This window comes from Homo sapiens, chromosome 17 (assembly GCF_000001405.40).
Source record: "Homo sapiens chromosome 17, GRCh38.p14 Primary Assembly".
NCBI lineage: Eukaryota > Metazoa > Chordata > Mammalia > Primates > Hominidae > Homo > Homo sapiens.
In genome coordinates this window covers 75,551,541-75,573,924 of record NC_000017.11, presented here as the reverse complement: position 1 = coordinate 75,573,924, position 22,384 = coordinate 75,551,541, and the positions used below count along the sequence as shown (strand labels likewise).

Genomic DNA, 22,384 nt, shown 5'->3' with positions numbered 1-22,384 from the left:
GGGCCCCCGGGCTCCCTGCCCGGCTCTGAGAGCCCTGGTCCCATGAAGAACAAGTCAATGGCGCAGCCTGTCCTGAGCCGGAGAGCCTGGGAGGTAAACTGAGTCCTGCCCTGGACTGCCAGCTTGCACAGGGGCAAGGGGCACGCAAAGAGGCAAGGAGAGCCGGAGCCTGGGAGGGTGGGCTGAGCTCGTGGGGAGGTGCCTCCAGCCAGGCAGCAGTGGGAGCCTCGGTATCTCAGAGAGGGCAGGGAGGGGCGGGAGGGGCGGGAGAGGCCTCTGGCCCTTTCACTCACCTGGCTCGGCTCGGGGCCTTCTTGGGGCCCGCACCGTTACCAGGGCGGTGGTTCTTGGTTTCTGCTGAATCCACCAGACACCGGGGCTCCACCAGCCACTTGGTGGAGAGAGAGAAGCGCTCAAACTCCGAGGGTGAGATCAGGTAGAAGCCTGGGGAGTGGGGGCAATGCTAGCGGCCTGGCCTGGCGGCTGCCAAGGCTGCCTCCCCACCTGGGGGAGTAGGGGCTAGTGCTCCCTCGCAGTTCTCCGCTTAAGGCCCATCCAGTCTGGCCGTGGCCACAACACCCCTGGCCACCCTTCCCGTCCGTGCAGTGCCCGGGGCCCCGACACCCACCCAGCCCGGCTCAAACACCTTGGCCATATTTGGTGAAGACGCAGGAGGCGATGCCACTGACGTCCTCCCGGCGGATGCAGCTGTAGCGCACCTGGGGCTTGAGCAGGGGCAGCGAGACCACCTGGATGTCGCCCAGGTTGGTAAGGACTGCCAGGTGGTGCTCCCCGTAGTCCTCGGCTCGACGACTGCCGAAGTGGGCCACGCTGACCCGCCGCACTCTTGAGCCCTCCAGGGCCGTCAGCTTCAACTTCAGCTTGGCACTCACCTTGGGCAGCGTGAACACCTGGGGGCGTGGGGTGGTTGTTCATGCCCATGGCCAAACCAGTTCTCCTGCCCTGTGCTGCTGCTGCTGGGCCCTCCCCTCCCCACATGCCTCCCGGTGTCCTGACAAACCCTTGGCTCTCAGATGCACAGACATGGCCTGGGAGGATGCCGAGGTCACCGACTTCCCTATCTGGATTTTTTTTTTTTTCCTCCGAGATGGAGTCTTGCTCTGTCGCCCAGGCTGGAGTACAGTGGTGTGATCTCGGCTCACTGCAACCTCCGCCTCAGGCAATTCTTCTGCCTCAGCCTCCCGAGTAGAGCTGGGATTACAGGCGTCCACCACCATGCTGGTTTTTTTTTTTTTTTTTGAGACGGAATCTCGCTCTGTCGCCCAGGCTGGAGGGCAGTGGCACAATCTCGGCTCACTGCAAGCTCCGCCTCCTGGGTTCACGCCATTCTCCTGCCTCAGCCTCCTGAGTAGCTGGGACTACAGGTGCCCGCCACCACGCCTAACTAATTTTTTTGCATTTGTTTGTAGAGACGGGGTTTCACCGTGTTAGCCAGGATGGTCTCGATCTCCTGACCTTGTGATCTGCCCGCCTCGGCCTCCCAAAGTGCTGGGATTACAGGCATGAGCCACCGCGCCTGGCCCATGCCGGGCTATTTTTTTTTGTATTTTTAGTAGTCAGGGTTTCACCATATTGGCCAGGCTGATCTCGAACTCCTGCCCTTGTGATCTGGCCTCCCAAAGTGCTGGCATTACAGGCATGAGTCACCGCGCCTGGCCCCCTGTCCTGCCTCAGTGTCCTCACACGAGACTCCCCCCTCACTTATTTCCTGTACTTCTGCAGCCCCTCAGACACCAACTGCAAACAAGACTGAGTCCCAGCCATCATTTTTGCCCAAGGTCCGAGCCTCCTGGATGTCCCGGGGAGTCCCAGGGAGACCCGCCGCTGCCCGTGTGGCACCTTGAACTGCTCCTCTGATACGACGAGCAGCTGGTGGCTTCCCTGCATGTCAGGGCTCTTCGACAGATCATGGGCCACTTCGAGGGGCTCGGGAAGGGGTACGCTGTGTCCGTCGAGCACCAGGATGCCCACCACCGGCGCCCGGTGCATCAGCTGGATCTCCTTGGCTAGGGGGAGGAGGTGGGTGTTGGGGCTGGTGAGGGGGTGGCAGGGCTGGAGCCACTCCCTGGACCCAGCCCAGGCAGCCCGAGCACCCTCTGCTCTCCCTGCCCAGCACTCACCCTGCTCTGCCCGCACAGGCTCATCCATTCTCCGCTCGGCGGGAGGCACACGCAGGGAGAAGGCATAGATGGTGCCCCCATTGGTGCCAGCCCACAGCGAGGGGCAGTGCCGGGAGCCTGCCGAGAAGCCATGTTTGGGTGTCTGACCCTTAGCGTGGGAGTCGGGTGGAGCTGGGCAACCAGGGTTTACTCCCAGGTTTTCCCTCCTGGGAGAGGCTGGAAGGCTCTCTGACAACCACACAGGCCCCAACATAGAAGACCCCAATCCCAGGTCAGCTCAGCCCTTGCTGTGATACAGCAGGGGAGAACCAGCCAGGGAGAGACACGTCATCTGGAGACCAGCAGGCTCTGCTGTCCCCGATCGTCACAGCTGCTCTAGGAGGAAGCTGTCACTTCCTCATTTACAGAGAAGCAAGCTGAGGCCCTGAAAGGCTAAGTGATGGGTCTGAGGCCATGCTTCTAAAGGGTGCTACGGCCTGGATATAAAGCCAAGGGAAGCTGACTCAGAGGCTGAGGCAGGGGAGGGGAGTAAGCAGGCAGGGGCTGCAGTCTGCCCCTGCTCACAAGGGGAAACCTCTTAGCTCCTACCAGCCAGGCAGGCAGCAGCCCCCGGCATGCCCCCAGGTCAGGGGGTGTCTGCTGCCCACTACCCCCTGCCCCCCAACCCCAGGCTGGCCACTCACTGTCCTTCAGGTAGGTGTCAGCAAAGTACAGGGTCCGGACGAAGCCTGTGAAGGAGTCCTCTGCCGAGCGAGCCTCGATCTTGCGCTGCACAGGCGCCAGCTCCATGTTCTGGAGGCCTGGCCGCTCAGCCTTGGCACTCCCCTCCTGTGCCTGCAAGGGGTGGGCCAGCCTAAGGGTCAGCTCTGGACTCCCCTCCCCAGGAACAGTGCTTCGCTCAGTGCTGATCCTTGCATCGGAAGGCAGGCCACAGCCATGCCAGCCACCTGCCAGGCCTGCGTCTAGAGGGACCCTTGTCCAAGAGGGAGGTGCCCTTGGGGGAGCCTGCCTGGGCCCCCAGCATGTTGTAGAGAGAAAAAGGAAATCACTAACGTTTACTGGGGATTACTTCTAGGATAAGCATTACAGTTACTGCCTTTCTGCTCAGGAAGCTGAGGCAGAGAGAAGCAGCGTGACCTGTCTGAGGTCACACAATGCGACCTGGACCCTGAATCTTGTTTGTAGCCTAGCAAGCCTGGGGAGCAGGGGCCGTGTGGCCCCCCTGCTGGCTGCTCTGAGCCGAACCTGGGTGCGTGGCCGGCCGCAGCCTCACCTCAGGCCTCACCTCTCCTGGGGGGCCAGCCGGGTGCCGCTTCCGGCTGGACACCCGGCTCCGACGCATCCGGCGGAATGACTGACGCAAGGACTTCTTGAGGGACTTGACGCGGGAGAGTGGGCCCTCCAAGGCCAGCTGGTCACTGGGGTGCAGTGTGCACCTTGGGGGGATGGCAGGCTGTCAGTGCTGCTAGGTCCTGGGAGTCCTCGCGGGCCCCACTCCCAGCCCCGGGACCCAGCCGCCCCTGCTCACTTAACAAAGACCTGCCGCCGCTGCTGGTGGTCAAAGAGGCCAAAGCCATGGCTGGTGCCGAAGGCCACGAGCCGCCACTCAGAGTGCAGGGCCAAGGAGGTGACCACAGCCGGGGGCTGACACTGCACCAACACGAAGGGCTGAAAGCCAGGCTCAAAGCGCACGGGCCCTGAGCGGGCTGCCAGGCGCTCGTGCCCCTTCCAGCGGTAGCCCTCTTGGTCCTGCAGCAGGTCGGCCTCCACCTGCTCCACAGCCTGCTCCGCTGCCTCGTCATTCAGTTCCAGTACCAGCACCTGCGCAGGGTGGCAGGTGGCTCAGCAAGCCCTCAGCAAAGGGACGGCAGGGCCGCAGGATGCTACTAGTGGGGACAGCAAAGGAGCTGGGCCCAAGGCTCAAGGAAGGACAAAGGCCTCTGTCCAACCCCAGCTCTCCTGCATTTTTTTTTTTTTTTTTTGAGACAAGTCTTGCTCTGTTGCCCAGGCTGGAGCGCAGTGGCACAATCTCGGCTCACTGCAACCTCTGCCTCCCAGGTTCAAGTGATTCTCTTGTCTCGGCCTTCCAGTAGCTGGGATTACAGGCACGAGCCACAAATGCCTGGCTAATTTTTATATTTTTAGTAGAGATGGGGTTTCACCATGTTGGCCAGGCTGGTCTCGAACTCCTGACCTCAGGTGATCCGCCTGCCTTGGTCTCCCAAAGTGCTGGGATTACAGGCATGAGCCACCGTGCCCGGCCCAGCCCTTAATTCCGATTTCTGGAGAAGAAACAACCATCCCAGGGACCTCCCGCCAAGGGGATCAAGCCACCTCCATCCACCGGAAAAGCAAAGGACACAGAATGTGCGTTAGGCAGGTGGTTGGCTCCTGTCCCTGCTGTCCCCAGTCATCGACCACTCCTCCCCAGCTCCCCCTCCCCAGCCCAGCCTGCTACCTGCCCTGCCGTGCCTGCCACAGCCAGGTAGCCGCTGTACTTGCAGAGGAAGATCTTCTGGATGCCCAGCCGGGGGTCATCACTGTAGGGGTCAAAGGAGCCCACCTGGAGAAGGGGAGGGGCCCTGTGAGCAGCCACGGGGACAGGACCCAGCTGGCCTCTGCCCTTCCTGGGTCCCAGGCTCCTGGCCTCACCTTGCGGAGTGGGGGCCACTCGTCCTCGCCCTGGGCACTGAAGTTCTCGTTGGGGTCCGTGTCGGTGAGGAACACGCGCACAGTGCTGAGTTTGTAGAGCAGCCGCAGGCAGACACCCGAGGCATCCCAGAACCGCACCGTGCCGTCCTCGTGCCTGTGGGCAGAACCCACCTGCCAGGCGTGAGAGGGATGCCAGCCGGGATGCCCAGGGGCTGGCTCGTCCACCTCAGGGCTCTGCTCCCACCCCACATATCCTACTGGGAAGAGGTGGGGTAGCATCAAAGTACCCTACCCTGTGAGCAGCAGGTCCCTCTGGGGTGGGGCTGGGGTCAGGCTGGTGCCACCATCAATTGGCCACTCCTAGAAAAAGAGACCAAGAAGTCCATGGGAGAGTTTGGCTTGCGGTGGGGCTGGGGCTGGGGCCAGGGCCAGACCTACCATGGTGGAGAAGTGTGCGTTCTGCCGGCTGCCGGCGGCAATGATCCGCTCCCACAGCTTCAGCGGGATGTTGGAGACGTGGTGAGAGCAGGTGATGGCGGAACAGTGCAGAGAAGCCAGGTAGGGCAGCTGGACCGGTGGCCAGCCTGCTGTCTGCAGGTCAATCACCACCAGCTCCTCCTCAGCCAGCACCACCAGGGCATAGGGGTCGTCAAAGGCTGGGGTACAGGGCAAGGGTCAGGGGCCGGGGCCAGGAGGAAGCAGCCCAGCTCTGTGGAATCAGAAGCTCCAGGGTTGGAGCCAGGGCATCTGCAGATCCAGAAAGCCCTGTTCTTGGCTGCTTGAGCAAAGCCTTTCCATCTCCAGGAGGGCAGCAGGTGTGGGCAGTAGCCCTGGCTCTGCATGCAAGGCTGCTGAGAGCTCCCTGGCACAGGGCTCCTGGGGGGATACACCTGGCTGGAAGGCAGGGTCCCAACCAGGATAGGCACCCCAGAGGCATGCAGCTGTGCCTGCCAACCCTCTTCCCTGGTTTCTCCTCCATGGGGCCTGCTCTCCCTGCTCAGATGCACCTGTCAAGCCTCTCCCCACAGGCAGCAGCACGCGTGGTCTTCAGCACACCAGTTGCTAGGGGTGGCATTTTCTTTACTGCACACAATCACATCACCTCACTCAGGCCTGGACCCAGCTAGTGCTCAATAAATGTGCGCTGGATGATTAAACCATTTGTCTTTTTTTTTTTTTTTCTTTTCTCGAGACAGGGTTTCACACTCTGTCGCCCAGGCTGGAGTACAGTGGTGTGATCTCGGCTCATTGCAACCTCCACCTCCAGGTTCAAGCGATCCTCCTGCCTCAGGCTCCCAAGTAGCTGGGATTACAGGTGTGAGCCACGATACCCAGCTAACTTTTGTATTTTTGGTAGAGACAGGGTTTCGCCATGTTGCTCAGGCTGGTGTTGAACTCCTGGGCTCAAGTGATCTTCCCACCTTGGCCTCCCAAAATGCTGGGATTACAGGCATGAGCCACTGTGCCCAGTCTTTTTTTTCTCTTTTTTTTTTGAGATGGAGTCTTGCTCTGTCACCCAGGCTGGAGTGTAGTGGTGCGATCTCAGCTCACTGCAACCTCCGCCTCCCGGGTTCAAGCGATTCTCCTGCCTCAGCTTCCCAAGTAGCTGGGATTACAGGCACTCACCACCACGCCTGGCTAATTTTTGTTTTTCTTTTTTATTTTTTGAGACGGAGTTTCGCTCTTGTTGCCCAGGCTGGAGTGCAATGGCATGATCTCGGCTCACTGCAACCTCTGCCTCCCGGGTTCAAGAGATTCTCCTGCCTCAGCCTCTCGAGTAGCTGGGATTACAGGCACATACCACCAATGCCTGGCTAATTTTTTATTTTTAGTAGAGACAGGGTTTCACCATGTTGGCCAGGCTAGTCTCGAACCCCTAACCTCAGGTGATCTGCCATCCTTGGCCTCCCAAAGTGCTAGGATTACAGCTGAGCCACTGCCCCTGGCTGACGCTGCCTCTTTGAAGTGCTTGTCTTCCCTGCTACTCTGGGGTCTGCTGCCCGCTGGCTGCTCCCAGGTGTTCTTTGCCAGATCCCCACCAAACTTCATGCCTCCAAGGCTTGAGGGTGCCCGGGCTCAGCTGTCCCATGGCTTCTCTTCTGTCTTCCTTACCACCTGGGCAGCCTCATCAGGGCCCCTGGTTTCACATCTCTTTTTTTCTTTAAACCTCAAAATCATTGAGCAGCCTTCACACATCTCTGCGTGGATGACTCCAAATGGACACCTTCCCGATCTCTCCTCTGAACTCCAGACCCATAAGCCCCAGTTGTCTACTCAGCATCTCCCTTATGGGTCTGGAGATCAGAGGAGACATTAAGTCCTCAGACTTGATCCCCGCCCAGCTGAGCTTGCTGCACCCTCTTGCCACTACCTTCTCCAGGATTCCTGGTGCTCCCAGCAAACCCTCACGTCATCCTTGACTGATCTCTCCTCCCCTCGTTTACCTCTCCCTAGACAAGGGGCCAAGAAATTACAGCCTGAGGACCAAATCTGGCCTCCTGCCTATTCCTGTCAATATGGCTGTCCTGGAACACGGATACGCCCCTTGTGTTGTCCATGGCTACATGTGCTCTGCAATGGCATTAGGCTGAGTAGCTGTGGGGAAGAAAGCCACCCAGCCCTTTATAGCAACAGTCTGTGAGCCCTGACCTGGCCCCTGAGCCAATGCTGAATGTTAGAAAAGACAGCGTAACCCCAGCCACCTCCTGCCAGTCCCATGGCCTGCACCGCAGCCCAAGCTGAGGTCACCTCTCCCTCGACTCTCACTGGGCTCCCGTCTTTGCTCCACTCCGTGTCCCCCACATGGCAGCCAGACAGATCCTTCTGGAGCAGAGGCTAGATCATGGCACCCCTGCTCAGGGCCCTCATCTCCCTCAAACCCCAAGTCCTTACCGTGCCTCCACGGCTCTATACGATCTGGCGCTGGCCACATCTGGACCAGCACGGGGGCCATTCTGCCCTCTCTTCGCCCCTACCTCATTGGAGCAAGCCAAGAGCCCTCCCAGCTCAGTCTGCACCCCAGGTCCCTACAGGGCAAGCCTTCCATCAGACTGCTTCCGTGTCTGCGCAAATACGTCCCCTTATCAGGGAGGCCTTGCCAACCCTTGTCTAAACCAGCACTGCTGTCCTCTGCCTGGCTTTTTTCTTACCTCTGACATTATCTGGCAACCTACTCACTCTGTCCACATACTCAGATCTAAGTTCCATGGGAACAGGGGCCTCATCTGTTTCTAGAACAGGGCCTGGCATATAGCAGTTGCTCATTAAACAGGAGAGCCTACCAAGGACAGCTGGGTCACAACCCGGCACAGCAGAACCATTACGTGAGAGCTTCAGGGTGCCCACATATCATCTGAGGGAAGCACCGCTCATCAGGCACCCACCTCCTGGCCTGCGGGACTGCGGGGAGTTGGGGACACAGAGGGACAATTGCAGGAAGGTGGCCTGTCCTAGAAAGCCCCAGCAGTCTCGAATTTGTAGCTCAGCAAGTTTCTTCCCTCCCTTCCTGACCTTTCCGCTGGGAATCAGGTAACTCAGTTAGCCCGGGGAGTGTGGCCACCATAGCCCAAGAGGCCCCCGCTCTGTGCCAACATGGCCCAAATGTTGTGGAAAGAGCAGAGCTGGGCCCTGCTCTCAGCATCCAGGGTGTGAGGAGGGAGGAGAGGCTGAGAAAGAAAGAAAAGCAGGTTTGGGGTTCCCCTGAACAGGGTAGATAGAGGCCGTGAGTACACAGACCAGGTGTCCTGAACAGCCCCGCCCCCTCACCTTTCGGCCTCAGGCCCTTTCAGGCCAGCATCATTAGGAGAGGGCCCTCCCTCCTGGAGAGCTCCTGCAGGGCTCCTCTCCAGGTTTCAACATCAGCCCTTTCTGGTCTTGCCTGTCACACAATTTACGAGGCTGACTCAGGGCTCTGCCGGTCCTGCTGGAGCTCCAGGAGGCTGCACAGCCACCTTCTGCCCTGCCCAGAAGGCGGGCTTTGCCATCTCTAAGCCAGGACCCTCTTGCCTCAGCGGGGTGGGTGTTAAATCCAACAGTACAGATCAGCCCCCTGTGGGCTAAGTCCCATTACAGTCTGGAAAGGGCAGAGAGCCCGGGGCAGACAGGAGGTGTGGCTGGGCTGGGTCTCTAGCTGGGGAGGGTGGCAGGGAGGCAGAGAAAGGAGCTGTAGGGCTTGATGACACTGCACCTTGGGGTGCAGTGAGGCTAAGGGACTCAGGACAGTGGTAGGCTTAGGAACATCTGTGCAGAGCCCTTTTTTTTTTTTTTTTTGAGACACAGTCTGGCTATGTCACCCAGGCTGAGTACAGTAGCATGATCCTGGTTCGCTGCAACCTCCACCTCCCAGGCTCAAGTGATCCTCCCACCTCAGCCTCCTGAGTAGCTAGGACTACAGGTACGTGCCACAACACCTGGCTAATTTTTTTATTTTTTGTAGAGACAAGGGTCTCCCTACGTTGTCCAGGCTGGACTTGAACTCCTGGGTTCAAGCGATCCTACCACCTTGGCCTCCCACAGCACTGGGGTTACAGGCAGGAGCCACTGCACCTGGCCCTGTCTTTACTGATGGTCCTGCCCCATGCCTCCCACACCTAACCCTGGGCACCCACTCCCGAAGCTCTCCTACTGGCTGCAGGGTCTGCCTCTGTGAGGACAGTGAAGCCGATGACACGGGAGGTGAAGTCGAAGGCCGTCTGCTGGCCATCGTGGATCACTGAGATGCAGTGGCGGTCCCCGTAGCTGGCCCGTGGCATGCCACCCTGGAAGATGGTGAAGGGCAACCTGGCAGGCACAGAGGAGCGGCAGTGGGCTGGGGCTCCTGGCACAGCCTCAACAGCCACAGGCCGGCAATCAAAGTCACCACTCAGTCAAGGTCCCCAGGAGCAGGGGAGACTGGACCCCATCTCCTTCCAACTGCTACAGCCCAGGAGGACTTGGAGGTAAGGTGAGGGCATCCAGGCTGGGGGCTCTGAGTCTCAGCAGCCACTCCTGCCTCATGCTGGGTGCCCCCACCAATTCTGTTTGAACATCACCCAGAGTGATTTTGTCTGAAGAAACAGGGCTGCCAACTAAAGGAGTTTAAGACCTGCTGCTCAGTACCGTCTCTCTGGGAAGGTGGAAGAAAGGAGCAAGAATGAACTTGGCAGGAATTGGGCCGCTGAGAGACGTGAATAGCGTCTACCCTGTCTCCCCTCCCTGGTGTCCAAGACCCCAACACGGGACCTGAGAGTGTTCACTGGCACCAACTTCCCAGGCAGAGGCCTAAGTGACCTTTCTAGCCCTCCAGGAAGGCTCTGGAGAGGAAAGAGGACCAGCATGGATACCTACCCCTGCCTAGTGGTCAGCCAGAGGATTCTGGTAATCGCTTTGCAAGGAAAGGGACCTGAAAGGAAAGGAATCGGCTTGAACGGATCCTCAAACTCTCAGACAAGTGTCAGTCCCCACAGGCACAGATCCCTCTAGCTCATGCCACATCCACATGGTAGACCTGTGCTTGGGAATCTTGCTCCGAGAAGTTCCCCAAGAAACTGGGTGAGGCGAACCCTGCTGTGTGGCTTTGGACAAAGCCTTTACCCTCTCTGGCCCTGGAGTTTGCTTCAGAATTGAGCAACCTGCACCTGAATCCAGGAGGCACTGGGGGTGGGCCCTGCCCGGCGGGTGAAACACTGACCGTAAGGCACGAGGCTGCGGAGGGGCTCTGGTTGCTGGGCTTCGCTGGACACGGGCCACTGGCAGTAGCTGCCGTCAGAGTGACAGCTGACGAGCAGGCGGCCGTCCCGCTGCCACCAGATGTTCTCCAGTTGCTATGGAGGAAGAGGAGAGGGACAGAGGGCAGCACGCTGGACCGAGGCGGCGTTCCCATCGCCTGCACCCCATGCCTCTGCACAGTGTGTATGTGCCACTTGGGGCCCTGGGAGAGCAACATGGCGCCTGCCATGTCCTGGGCACTGCCTACCTGGCTGCTGAGGAAGTGGTAGAGCACGCGGCTGCCCTGTAGGTCCCAGATGACAACGAGGCCTCGGCTGTAGCCGATCAGGATCTGGTTGGGGTCTCGAGGGTGCTCCTGCAGTGCCTCCACCATCTCGAACACACGCCGGTGGCGGGCCTCCTCTGGCAACCTGGGCGAGGGGAGTGCCGTGAGCCTCCGATGCCGTCCACCAGGGGGAATGGCCCCCAGCATGGCACAGCCATGGGGCTCCCTATGCAGAGGTGGCTGCTCCATGTGCCAGCATAGAAATATGGCTAGGGGCTGGGCGCAGTGGATGGCCGAGCGTGGTGGCTCATGCCTGTAATCCCAGCACTTTGGGAGCCCAAGGTGGGCAGGCCACTTGAGGTCAGGAGTTTGAGAGCAGCCTGGCCAACATGGCAAAACCCTGTCTCTACTAAAAATATAAAACATTAGCTGGGCGTGGTGGCACATGGCTATAACCCCAGCTACTTGGGAGGCGGAGGCGGGAGAATTGCTTGAACCCAGGAGGCGGAGGTTGCAGTGAGCCGAGATCGTGCCACTGCACTCCAGCCTGGGTGACAGAGTGAGACTCCATTTCCAAAAAAAAAGAAAGAAAGATGGCTAGGACATGTCACCAAGGGGAGAAGGGCAGCATGTAGAACAAGACAGAGACATGGACACAACCTCCAGTGATGTAAACACAGGCGGTACAATTATAAGGCAAGGCAAGGCAGTGACTTCTGGAAAAGTCAATGTGGGGGCAAGAGGGAGCCTTGACTAGGAAGGGTGCATAAGACCTCCGGAGGGCATCAAAGTTCTATTTCTATGCCCGGCAGGAAGGCTGCAAGGATGCTCTACAAGAATCTGTTAAACTGTACATTCATATTCAGTGCATTTTTGCAAAAGGGAGTGTTTAATAATAAAGAAGTTTTTTAGCCCCATAAAACAAAACTCTGTGTGAGTTGGCCTGGCCCTGGAGCCTTGACCCCTGCCCCGTCTCCAGGCCTGGAATGCTGCCGTGAGGGCTGGAGGTGTTGCAGCCAACAAAAAAACCACAAGGCAGCAGGCACAGGACCAACAGCCAACAGCAAGGATGTGGGAAGTGGACCCAGCCTGGACCCAAGCCACACTAAACCCAAGCTCTCCACATTATCTATATCTGGCACATCTACTGCTAGCACTGACCTCACTGACATTAGAATTTGAATCAAGAGTGAGAGTTGAAGGGGACTTTAATATTCAATATTTAATTTTTTTTTTTTGAGATGGGAGTCTCGCTCTGTTGCCCAGGCTGGAGTGCAGTGGTGTGACCTCGGCTCACCACAACCTCCACCTCCGGGGTTCAAGCAATTCTCCCTGCTCAGCCTCCCGAGTATCAGGGATTACAGGCACCCACAACCATGCCAGGCTAATTTTTTATACTTTTAGTAGAGACGGGGTTTCGCCATGTTGCCCAAGCTGGTCTCGAACTCCTGATCTCAGGTGATCCACCCGCCTCCGCCTCCCAAAGTGCTGGGATCACAGGCGTGAGCCACCGCGCCCGGCCTAATTTTTAATCTTTTTAGAGACAGGATCTCATTCTGTCACCCAGGCTGGAGGGTAGTGACCTGATCATGGCTCACTGCAGCCTCCAACTCCTGGGCTCAAGTGATCCTCCCACCTCCCAAGTAGCTGAGACTGCAGACGTGTGCCGCCTTGCCCAACTAATTTTTATTTTTTGTGAGGAGAGACAGGGTCTTGCTATGTTGCCCAGGCTAGTCTCAAATTCCTGGCCTCAAGCAATCCTCCTACCTCAGCCTCCCAAAGTGTGAGCAACTGTGTCCATCTAGATATTCTTAATAAATGCAAATAATGTCCTTACACAGATGAAAATTGTTAGACAATTAGAGGGCTTCCAACTTTTTGCCATTAAAAACAGCCCTACAATGATCATTCTTATCCTATATCTTTAGGACAGAGACTTCTCAGAGACAGTTATGAGACTAAAGGGTTGCACGTTTTAAAAACTTAGATAAGTGTCATCAAGAGGACGAGAATTTAAACTGCCAAAAGGGGCTGGGCCTGGTGGCTCACACCTGTAATCCCAGCACTTTGGGAGACCGAGGTGGGTGGATCACCTGAGGTCAGGAGTTCAAGACCAGCCTGGCCAACATGGTGAAACCCCGTCTCTACTAAAAATACAAAAATAAGCCGGGTGTGATGGCGTGCACCTGTAATCCCAGCTACTCGGAAGGCTGAGGCAGGAGAATCACTTGAACCCAGGAAGCAGAGGTTGCAGTGAGCTGAGATCTTGCCACTGCACTTCGGCCTGGGACAGAGTAAGACTCTCTCAAAAAAAATGTTTTTTCTTTGTTTTTTTTTTTTTTTTTTTTTTTTTTTTTTAATAAATAAACAAACTGGGCCAGGCGCTGTGGCTCATGCCTGTAATCCCAGCACTCTGGGAGGCTGAGGCGGGTCAATCACCTGAGGTCGGGAGTTCGAGACTAGTTTGACCACCATGGAGAAACCCTGTCTCTACTAAAAATACAAAATTAGCTGGGTGTGGTAGCGCATGCCTGTAATCCCAGCTACTCGGGAGGCTGAGGCAGGAGAATAGCTTGAACCCAGGAAGCAGAGGTTGCAGTGAGCCAAGATCGTGCCATTGCACTCTAGCCTGGGGAACAAGAGTGAAACTCCATCTCAAAAATGAAATAAAATATAATATAATATAATATAAATAAACTGGCAGGAGGGGCTCTCAGGGCACTTGGGCCCCCCCGCCGACTAGATTCCCGCCAGCTAACTACAGGGTGAGGCTGGGCACTGGTGTGGCCACCTGCTGGGGCGCAGGTCCCATGCCGTCCTGCCCACAGGCTGTGTCCCACTGTGGTACCTGTCATCCTGCAAAGTGTTCTGCTCTGACCTTGGACACACTGCCCCAGCCCTACCCTGCTGAACGGGAAAGGCAGAGGTCTGCACTCAGAGGGACACAGCTCCAAGTGGGAATCCTCCCAGCCCAGTCATGCCCTGCCCTGGGCAGACGGGCCCTGCTTCATCACCACCCAGGGCTGGAGAGCTGGGCTGGCCAGCTGCAGGAGTGTGTCCCAGGCCCAGTCCAAAGCCTTGCAGGGCCAGGGGCCCAGCACCCTGGCCTCCTCCTGCCCCTTGGAACCACAGATCATTCCACCATGACCGACCCGGCCCCAACATGATCTTGTCAGATGCTATCTCCTCTCTTTTTTTGGGCCCCGTCCCCTTCTCCCACCCGGACCTGATCCAACTCCCTCTCTAATGTAGTATCATCAACAAGGAGCAAAGCTTCTGAAACGATCTCAACAGACCCACATGCCTGTGGCGGTCAAGGCTTTTTAGCCACGGAGCTTGCGAGCAAATGGAACCTCAGCAAAGTACCCACCGCAAAGGGTGGCACCAGGAGCTGCCCCAGTGACACAGGGAGGTCTGGGCCCGACTTCCCCGCTGCGGAGCCCCTGGGGTTCTGAAACCCATGGCAAGTGCAAAGGACACTGGACTGACAGTCGGTGACATTACACAGTCATTTGGGGCCTTTAGACGAGGGACCCTCAAAGCCCCCTTTTTAGTGCTATGATGCTAACCTATGACAGGCCAATAGGTTCTCAGTAGGTGACAGGTAGGAAGCCAAGAGCCTCCCCTGCTATAGCCCCATGGAATTCCCAGCAGAGAAATGACAGCTCCTGACAGAGTCCTGGGACCAAGGGGAGAAGCCATGCCTAACTTGAGGGGATGGAGTTAACAGCAGCTGGGCTCTGGGCTCACCGCTGCAGCACCGCGTCCGAGCTGATGGTCCGGTCCTCCAGCGCACGAAAAGCTGGCAGCTGCACCACAAACACGTTGCCACTCTCGGTGCCCAGGTAGAGCAGCTCGCAGGAGGAATGTGGCAGGACCACGGTGATCTGTGTGGCACTGGGGGCAGCCCTGTGACAAGAACAGCTGCCCGTGAGCCGACCACTGCCCAGCAGGGGAGATGCCATGGACGGGGTCCCCTGACTCCTCGGAAAACAAGCCCATAAGGCCCTTTAATGAGGTCATAACATTTCAAGCCAGGACAAACATTGGTCACTTTCTGCCAAGACAGGAGACAGATGGCAGAGAGCCTGGGCTAGGAGGCAGGAAAGACGCCAGGGACCCTCCAGCATAACACGGGGTGCGGATGGAGGAGGCGGGGTGCAGATGGAGGAGGCGGGGTGCGGATGGAGGAGGCGGGGTGCGGATGGAGGAGGCGGGGTGCGGATGGAGGAGGTGGGGTGCGGATGGAGGAGGCGTGGTGTGGATGGAGGAGGTGGGGTGCGGATGGAGGAGGCGGGGTGCGGATGGAGGAGGTGGGGTGCGGATGGAGGAGGCGTGGTGTGGATGGAGGAGGCAGGCTGCAGCCCCGCCCACTCCACTCGGAGCACCTGAGTGTGGCGATGCATCGGGCCAAACGCATGCCAGTCACTGCCAGGGGCGCAACAGGCCTCACAAAGGGTGAGTCCACTCCAGAGCTAAGGGCAAGGGTCAGGCTGGGCTGGGAGTGGAAGGGGCTGGGGATTGAGCCCTTACCCTGGGGGTCCACGCAGTGTGAAGCTCTCATCCTCCTGCAGCTCCGATGCCCCGCCCTTGACCTTCAGGCTCCAAAGGTGCAGGCTGTTGTCATCCAGCAGGGTGACCAGCTGGCACTGGCGAGGGCACACGACGGGATCATGTGGTCTTGCTACCCAGGCAAGGCCTTTACACACTGGGGCCACGCAGCCCCAGTTGTTTAAAAGACCCCCTGGCCACTCCCAGGGTGGCCCATGAGCCCCAGCTGTGGAAAGGGAGGGGGTCCCAGGTCTTTCCATCAGCAGCAAACCCAGGGCCACCGAATGCCAGCCTCTCCACACCAGCCCTGCTGGAAGCAGTGAAGGCAAGGAGGGCATGGAAGTGGCTTCCTGTCCCACCCCAGGTCCCTCACCTGGCCGGGCAGGAGGTGGATCTGCGTCACAGCGTTGTTCTCCTGGTGCAGCCCCATGAACTCCACGCCTGGGGCTCCGTAGCTAGGAGTAGGCTCAGGAAAGCTCTGGAAGGTCGGACACCATCCCCTGCCTGCCTTGAGTGCCAGGCCCTCGGGGCCCATGTGCAATGATGCAAACACAGAGAGGGGCTGCCCTCCCCCGAGGCAGCAGGACCCATGCATGGAGCCTAGGGTGGGGAGGAGACACAGCAGCCCTGGCCCTGGGGCACCAGGCCAGTGACCTGATCCCTGGGAGATTTTTCCCAGTCAGGCCGGTGGGAGCAACTCCATAGAAAGGCGAAGCCCTACCCTGGCAACTGTCAGGCTGCCACCCTGATCCTGAGCTGCAAAAGACATGTTGGCTGTCGCTTGGTAGCACCTGTGAAAAAACACACGGCACCCCAGGGGGCCTATCACCAACAGCCTTGGCCCATTAGTCTTGGCACCAGGGATTGGTAACTAGAGTCTGGCTGTGGCCTGGCAATGATTAACCAGCCGAGGGAAGGCTGAGCCCGCAGCAAGGCCCTGGCCCCCTGTGTACACCAGCCCAGCCTGGAACTCGAGTGCTCCATACCCCTCCCCCACACCGGGCAGAGGGGAAGAGGGAGGTCAGGCTCCGCTGGAGGTGGCAGCCAAGCTATTGGAGGTGGTCCCTCATCTCTCAACTCCCTTGGGCCCTGCCCTGAGGGGAGCACAGATCAGACTGGCGGGGTGCCCAACCTGATCCGGTTTTTCATCTCTGAAAACACTGGGAGCCCCCAGTCGGCCAGAACCAGTGCTCTGGATAAAAGATGACCCAACTGGACAACATCCAGCCTCAGGCCGGGGAAGGACTGTCCCTGCCAGGCAGAGCCCTCTCCACTCTCTGCCGCCTGTGGGAGTGGGGGTGGAATTTGGAAGACAGCTGCCGAGCCCTGCTCTCCTGGCCCAAGGCCACCCCATCTCTGCTTGTGGATAGGGCCCTGGGGCCAGTCCACCTCTGATTCTTATCGAGATAGGTTAAAAAACAAAACTGCAGGCTGGGAGTGCAGTGACTCATGCCTGTAACCCTAGCATTTTGAGAGGCCAAGGCGAGAGAGTTGCTTGAGCCCAGGAGTTCAAGACCAGGCTGGGCAAGATCACAAGACCCTGTCTCCACAAAAAAAAAAAAAAAAAAAAAAAAAGTTTTTGAGACAGAGTCTCACTCTGTTGCCCAGGCTGGAGTGCAGTGGCACAATCTTGGCTCACTGCAACCTCTGCCTCCCAGGTTCAAACGATTCTCCCATCTCAGCCTCCCAAGTAGCTGGGATTACAGGCATGTGCCACCACGCCCTGATAACTTTTAAAATATTTTTAGTAGAGACAGGGTTTTACCACATTGACCAGGCTGGCCTTGAACTCCTGACCTCAAGTGATCTGCCCGCCTCAGCCTCCCAAAGTGCCGAAAAAAATTTTTTTAAATTAAAAACATCCCTAGCGACAAGAGGGGTCCCTGTAACTTGCTTTTCTGGTGGTGAGGTGGGGAGCTGAGGGAGGCAGGGGCACAGAAGGGCCTAGGCCTTGCTACTGGCGCACCAGCCAGCCACTCACTGAATGATCACTGGCTGAGACATGGGCGTCAGGTCCTTCCCTCTGGATCCACCAATACAACCCCTGCAAAACAGGTCTCTGAGCCCCCCAGCAGCCTCACCCCCTGCCCGGGACTGGGGGATTCCTGAAACCTCCAGGAATAGGTGAGAGGGGAAACTGAGTAAAGGGAGCAGACCACATGAAGGGTCCTGAAAGGACACAGGAGACAAAATAAGCCTGTATCTCCTCAGTCCATTTCAAACCTCACTGTCCTCCTGCAAAGGACAGGGTCGCATCCCACCAGGGATGCACTCATGCCCAGGTGCCTGCTCCACCATCAACCATACCTGCCCCATTTTGGAATAAAATCATGTCCAAAACTGGAAATCAGGAAAGTCCCTCATTTTATCCCAACAGCCCACGGGCAAGGAAGGAAAAGATGTCCCTCCCCAAATCTCACCCACCCCAAGGCCCTGCCCGAGTGGGAGCGAGGGGACGGAGGATACAGCTTGATGGCTCCAGAACGGGTGCCGATGGCCAGGATGCGCAGGGACGGGCTGTAGCCGAGGGCGCTGGGCTGGTGCGGGAAGCCATGCTCCACCGTCTGCAACGAGAAGCACGTGGGGTGGGCCTGCAGACCTGTCCCCTTCGCGCCACCATGGCTGCTGCAGCTGCAGCACCAGACGACCCAGCAGGAAGCAGGGCTTCGGTACCTTTCCGGTTCCTCCCAGACACCTGAGTGTTGGAGCCTAACCCATATTTACCAGGCCCCACCCCCTGTCCCTTTGTGACTCTGCCCTTGGCCTCATGGCCACCCCTGCGAGCTGATCTTCCCCGACACCATACCAGCCTCTCAATGCTTTCCAGGAACTGACTCGGTGCCTCCACCACGTGCACCCTGGGTGACGGACCCAGCCCTCCTCAGTGGCATGGGGGCCTTATGGGTGTGGGGTGGGGAAAGTAGGGGGAGTTTGGAACAATGGAGACACCGGTCTCTCGGGAGAAAATCTTGGTTGCACCGCAGCTCCGGGCTCACCCAGGGGCCTAGAGTACCGCGGAGGCCCTGCCCTGCTCTGGGCTCTTCCAGGTCCCTCCAGGCCCCAGTCAGCTGGGTCTCACAGACTCTTACTGTCACCAAATTCCAACCATCTTCCCAGAAAGGGAATTCCTGGAGTGTCGTTGCACATACGTGTTTTTTTCATTTATTACAGAATACACACACACACTGTGAAAAACCTGGGAGGTATAAAGATGTTTAAGAACAAAAACTGAGGCTGAGGCAGGAGAATGGTGCGAACCCGGCAGGCAGAGCAGCCTGGGCGACAGAGCGAGACTCCGTCTCAAAAAAAAAAAAAAAAAGAACAAAAATTACCCAAACTCCCACAACCAGAAGTAACCTTGCTAGAACCTAAGTGTACATCCTTCGAGTCTTCTGCACTTGTGAATGTTTGCAGGTCTATTTTTTTTTTTTTTGAGATGGAATCTCGCTCTGTTGCCCAGGCTGGAGTGCAGTGGTGCGATCTCGGCTCACTGCAAGCTCCGCCTCCCGGGTTCATGCCATTCTCCTGCCTCAGCCTTCCGAGTAGCTGGTACTACAGGTGCCCACCACCATGCCTGGCTAATTTTTTGTATTTTTAGTAGAGACAGGTTTCACCGTGTCTCTATCTCCTGACCTCATGATCTGTCCACCTCAGCCTCCCAAAGTGCTAGGATTACAAGCGTGAGCCACCCGCACCCAGCCAAAAATTTTTTTTTTTTTTTGAGACGGAGTCTTGCGCTGTCGCCCAGGCTGGAGTGCAGTGGTGTGATCTCAGCTCACTATAAGCTCCGCCTCCCAGGTTCACGCCATTCTCCTGCCTAAGCCTCCCAAGTAGCTGGGACTACAGGCGCCCGCCACCACGCCCGGCTAATTTTTTGTATTTTTAGTAGAGACGGGGTTTCACTGTGTTAGCCAGGATGGTCTCGATCCGCCCATCTTGGCCTCCCAAAGTGCTGGGATTACAGGCATGACAAAAATTTTTAATTTTTCTTTTTTGAGGGTCTCACTCTGTTGCCCAGGCTGGGTGCTACGGCATGATTTCGGTTCACTGTAGCCTTGGCCTCCCAGGCTCAAGTGATCCTTCCACCTCAGCCTCCCAAGTAGCTGGGACTACAGGCATGCACCACCACACCTGCCACACCCGGCTACTTTTTAATTTTTGGTAGAGACAGGTACTCGTCATGTTGTCCAGCCTGGTCTTAACCTTCTAGACTCAAGCGATCCTCCTGCCTCGGCCTCCCAAAGCGCTGGGATTACAGGCGTGAGTCACTGCAAGCTGCCTAAAATGGCTTTTTTTTTTTTTTTTTTGAGACGGAGTTTTGCTCTTGTCACCCAGCCTGGAGTGCAATGGTGCGATCTTGGCTCGCTGCAAACTCTGCCTCCCAGGTTCAAGTGATTCTCCTGCCTCAGTCTCCCCAGGAGCTAGGATTACAGGCACCCACCACCATGCCCAGCTAATTTTTGTATTTTCAGTAGAGATGGGCTTTCACCATGTTGGCCAGGCTGGTCTTGAACTCTTGACCTCAAGTGATCTGCCCGCCTTGGCCTCTCAAAGTGTTGGGATTACAGGTGTGAGCCATCATACCCGGCCTAAAATGACTTTTAAAACATCTAAAGAATATTCTTTACCTGTAGATATCCTAATTCACCAGAGGTTTATTGTTGAGTATTTACTTTGTTGCTAGAGGGTTTGCAATCCAACAACCATGTCGATGGCATTCTTGGACTCCTATCTTTGTCTGCACCACTTGAGTATTTCCTGGGGCAGATGTCCCAGGGATAGAATTGTGGGTTAAGAAAGGTATGAACATAAACCCACTACAAATTTAGAGTGATAAACCATCTTCAGGAAGGTTTTTAGTTCAGTTTCTTAATCAGTTACCCCAATCTGACCCCCGCCTCCCACCCCGGGGGATAGTGACCCTGCAGAGCTAGGTGAGAACAGCACAAAGCGATGCTATGTCAACTGATTGCTTTAAAGACTTAAAAAACAACCACAGAGACTCTGACTTGCAGAAAAAGGTCCCAACAATGAGGCAGCCTCCTTAGGCCCTGGGCTTTCCTACTTTGCAGCCCTGCCAGGCCTCAAAGCAGCAGAAAAGGAGAAGTCCCTGATGAGATCTAGCAATGATAGCTTAGCAAACCCAATTGCTACCTGCCTCCCCCATCAGTCAGTCTAGTCCAATGGCTCTCACAAGGAATCCCATGCTGGGGTCAGGCAGGGAGGAGAGCTCCAACAAGTGCCTATTTTGGGGGATGCCTGGAGACAAAAAGGTCGGGGGAGACGGGGGGTGCCTCAGGCCTGGCCTTTGCTAGGAACAGGGCCTGCCCTGCAAATGGTCATACCTAAATGGGATAGCCAGGGGGACAGATAGGGCCCAGCAGCGGCCCCCAGGCCAGCCCAGGTCCCTGTTCAGCTATGCGAAAAATGCAGAGCCTGGAGAAGCCCTGGATAGAGATAGCTGAGTGTCTGGAATGTAAACATTTCCCAGGAAAAGGGGAGTAGACAGTGGGATAGGATGTGCAGGACAAGCTCCCCCAGGGGCCCCACCAGACCTCAGCCAGCCCCAGGTTGCTGGGGCCTCAGGAAGTCAGCAGCCGGAGCCGTCTCCCAGGACAGCAGCACTTTCCCAGCAGCAGAGGCAGCTCAGGGAACAGCCTCTGGAATTTGGAGGACTCTGGTGGAAATGCCCTACAGGAGCCCAATGGCCTGGCCAGGAGCAGGCCCCATGCTCCGAGCTGCCCAGAACGGTAGCCATGAGCCCCATGGGGCCACCAAGCACTTGCAGTATGGCTCATGTCACCAATGAGGATTAAGTCAGTTCTTGGAAACCCTTCAAGTATGTCTGGAACAACTCGGGTTCTAGAAGAACAGGGGCTGGACTCAGGCAGGCCACGCTTCGAATTCCCTTTTTCCACTGTAAATCATCCAAATTCTAAATACAGATCTAGTACTTCCAAAAAAGATTTAATGTCTGAACTGAGATGTGCCGTAAGTGTAAAATACACCTAGATTTCACAAATTGAGCATTCAAAAACACAAACTGAAAAAATCTCATTAGTAGTTAATCACACGTCAAAATATTTTGCATATGTTGGATTAAAAGGAATATATAATTTTTTTTTGAGATAGGGTCACGCCTGTCACGCCTGGAGTGCAGTGGCACGATCACAGCTCACTGCAACCTCCGCCTCCCTGGTTCAAGTGATCCTCCCGCCTCAGCCTCCTGAGGAGCTGGGACTACAGGCACACACCACCACGCCCAGCTAGTTTTTGTATTTTTAGTAGAGACGGGGTTTCACCAAGTTGGCTAGGCTGGTCTCAAACTCCTGGCCTCAAGTGATCCACAGGCCTCAGCCTTCCAGAGTGCCAGAGTGCTGGGATTACAGGTATGAGCCACCTTGACCAGCTGGAATACAGGATTAAAATTAATTTCACTTGTTTAAATAATTTCATAATGCAGCTTCTAGACTTTTTTTTTAAAGACAGAGTCTCCCTCTGTCACCTAATTGGAGTGCAGTGGTGAGATCTTAGCTCGCTGCAACCTCCACCTCCCGGGTTCAAATGATTCTCCTGCCTCAGCCTCCCAAGTAGCTGGGACTACAGGCATGCACCACCACGCCCAGCTAATTTTTGCATTTTTAGTAGAGATGGGGTTTCACCATGTTGGCCAGGCTGGTCTCGAACTCCTGACTTCAAGTGATCTCCTCGCCTTGACCTCCCAAAGTTCTGGGATTACAGGCGTGAGCCACCGCACCCAGCCAGAATATATAATTAAAATTAATTTCACGTGTTTAAATAATTATACAATGCAGCTTCTAGGAAATTTTAAATCACATACATGGCTCATATTATATTCCCATTGGCCTCGACAATTCCGCACACCAGCAGGAACGTCAGGCCACAGAGAAAACAGCCTGTAACTTTTTGCTAGGCTCTCAGGCCACAAGTCAAGGGCGGGCAGTTCTTCTAACATTTCACCAGAGTCACTACTCCTGTTCGGCTCAGCATCTTTCCTCTAACTCAGAGGAAGACAAAGGGTTGGGCCCATCCTTCAACCACCCGCATT

At 56.7% G+C, this 22,384-nt stretch overlaps 1 protein-coding gene across 32 annotated transcripts in view, besides 7 other annotated features; it reads right to left on the bottom strand.

Moving 5' to 3' along the window:
* The window catches only part of LLGL2 (LLGL scribble cell polarity complex component 2), a 50,208-nt gene that overhangs the window by 1,285 nt on the left and 26,539 nt on the right, over positions 1-22,384 (bottom strand). For 17 of the 32 annotated variants that reach the window (XM_017024626.2, XM_047435995.1, XM_047435986.1 and 14 more), the window contains 19 exons: positions 17,782-17,879; positions 15,689-15,770; positions 15,298-15,413; positions 14,515-14,673; positions 10,747-10,909; positions 10,462-10,594; positions 10,119-10,173; positions 9,418-9,572; positions 5,232-5,449; positions 5,086-5,153; positions 4,794-4,947; positions 4,600-4,704; positions 3,670-3,962; positions 3,427-3,577; positions 2,825-2,975; positions 2,142-2,258; positions 1,861-2,027; positions 647-911; positions 294-444 (listed from right to left, as the gene is read on the bottom strand). In XM_017024626.2, the coding sequence (XP_016880115.1) occupies positions 294-444; positions 647-911; positions 1,861-2,027; positions 2,142-2,258; positions 2,825-2,975; positions 3,427-3,577; positions 3,670-3,962; positions 4,600-4,704; positions 4,794-4,947; positions 5,086-5,153; positions 5,232-5,449; positions 9,418-9,572; positions 10,119-10,173; positions 10,462-10,594; positions 10,747-10,909; positions 14,515-14,673; positions 15,298-15,413; positions 15,689-15,770; positions 17,782-17,879 (2,801 nt within the window). Of the gene's footprint in view, positions 1-293; positions 445-646; positions 912-1,860; positions 2,028-2,141; positions 2,259-2,824; positions 2,976-3,414; positions 3,578-3,669; positions 3,963-4,599; positions 4,705-4,793; positions 4,948-5,085; positions 5,154-5,231; positions 5,450-9,201; positions 9,573-10,118; positions 10,174-10,461; positions 10,595-10,746; positions 10,910-14,514; positions 14,674-15,297; positions 15,414-15,688; positions 15,771-17,781; positions 17,880-22,384 lie in introns of those variants that run through there. The other 15 variants (XM_011524802.2, XM_047435975.1, XM_047435973.1 and 12 more) reach the window with 2 other exon arrangements.
* Positions 2,386-2,555: an enhancer, noted in NCBI's record as "active region_12769". NCBI's record gives its function as "activates an Ori minimal core promoter by ATAC-STARR-seq in GM12878 lymphoblastoid cells {active_cell/tissue: GM12878}" and the evidence as "EXISTENCE:reporter gene assay evidence [ECO:0000049][PMID:35858748]".
* Positions 2,666-2,795: an enhancer, noted in NCBI's record as "active region_12768". NCBI's record gives its function as "activates an Ori minimal core promoter by ATAC-STARR-seq in GM12878 lymphoblastoid cells {active_cell/tissue: GM12878}" and the evidence as "EXISTENCE:reporter gene assay evidence [ECO:0000049][PMID:35858748]".
* Positions 6,887-7,036: an enhancer, noted in NCBI's record as "active region_12767". NCBI's record gives its function as "activates an Ori minimal core promoter by ATAC-STARR-seq in GM12878 lymphoblastoid cells {active_cell/tissue: GM12878}" and the evidence as "EXISTENCE:reporter gene assay evidence [ECO:0000049][PMID:35858748]".
* Positions 11,443-11,737: a silencer, noted in NCBI's record as "tiled region #3602; HepG2 Repressive DNase matched - State 12:CtcfO, and K562 Repressive non-DNase unmatched - State 23:Low". NCBI's record gives its function as "represses a minimal TATA promoter and a strong SV40 promoter by Sharpr-MPRA in HepG2 and K562 cells {active_cell/tissue: HepG2 | K562}" and the evidence as "EXISTENCE:reporter gene assay evidence [ECO:0000049][PMID:27701403]".
* Positions 15,134-16,069: an enhancer, noted in NCBI's record as "H3K27ac-H3K4me1 hESC enhancer chr17:73553937-73554872 (GRCh37/hg19 assembly coordinates)". NCBI's record gives its function as "activates a minimal SCP1, AML or CMV promoter by ChIP-STARR-seq in naive H9 embryonic stem cells {active_cell/tissue: H9 hESC(naive)}" and the evidence as "EXISTENCE:reporter gene assay evidence [ECO:0000049][PMID:30033119]".
* Positions 16,070-17,006: an enhancer, noted in NCBI's record as "H3K27ac-H3K4me1 hESC enhancer chr17:73553000-73553936 (GRCh37/hg19 assembly coordinates)". NCBI's record gives its function as "activates a minimal SCP1, AML or CMV promoter by ChIP-STARR-seq in naive H9 embryonic stem cells {active_cell/tissue: H9 hESC(naive)}" and the evidence as "EXISTENCE:reporter gene assay evidence [ECO:0000049][PMID:30033119]".
* Positions 20,916-21,496: an enhancer, noted in NCBI's record as "H3K27ac-H3K4me1 hESC enhancer chr17:73548510-73549090 (GRCh37/hg19 assembly coordinates)". NCBI's record gives its function as "activates a minimal SCP1, AML or CMV promoter by ChIP-STARR-seq in naive H9 embryonic stem cells {active_cell/tissue: H9 hESC(naive)}" and the evidence as "EXISTENCE:reporter gene assay evidence [ECO:0000049][PMID:30033119]".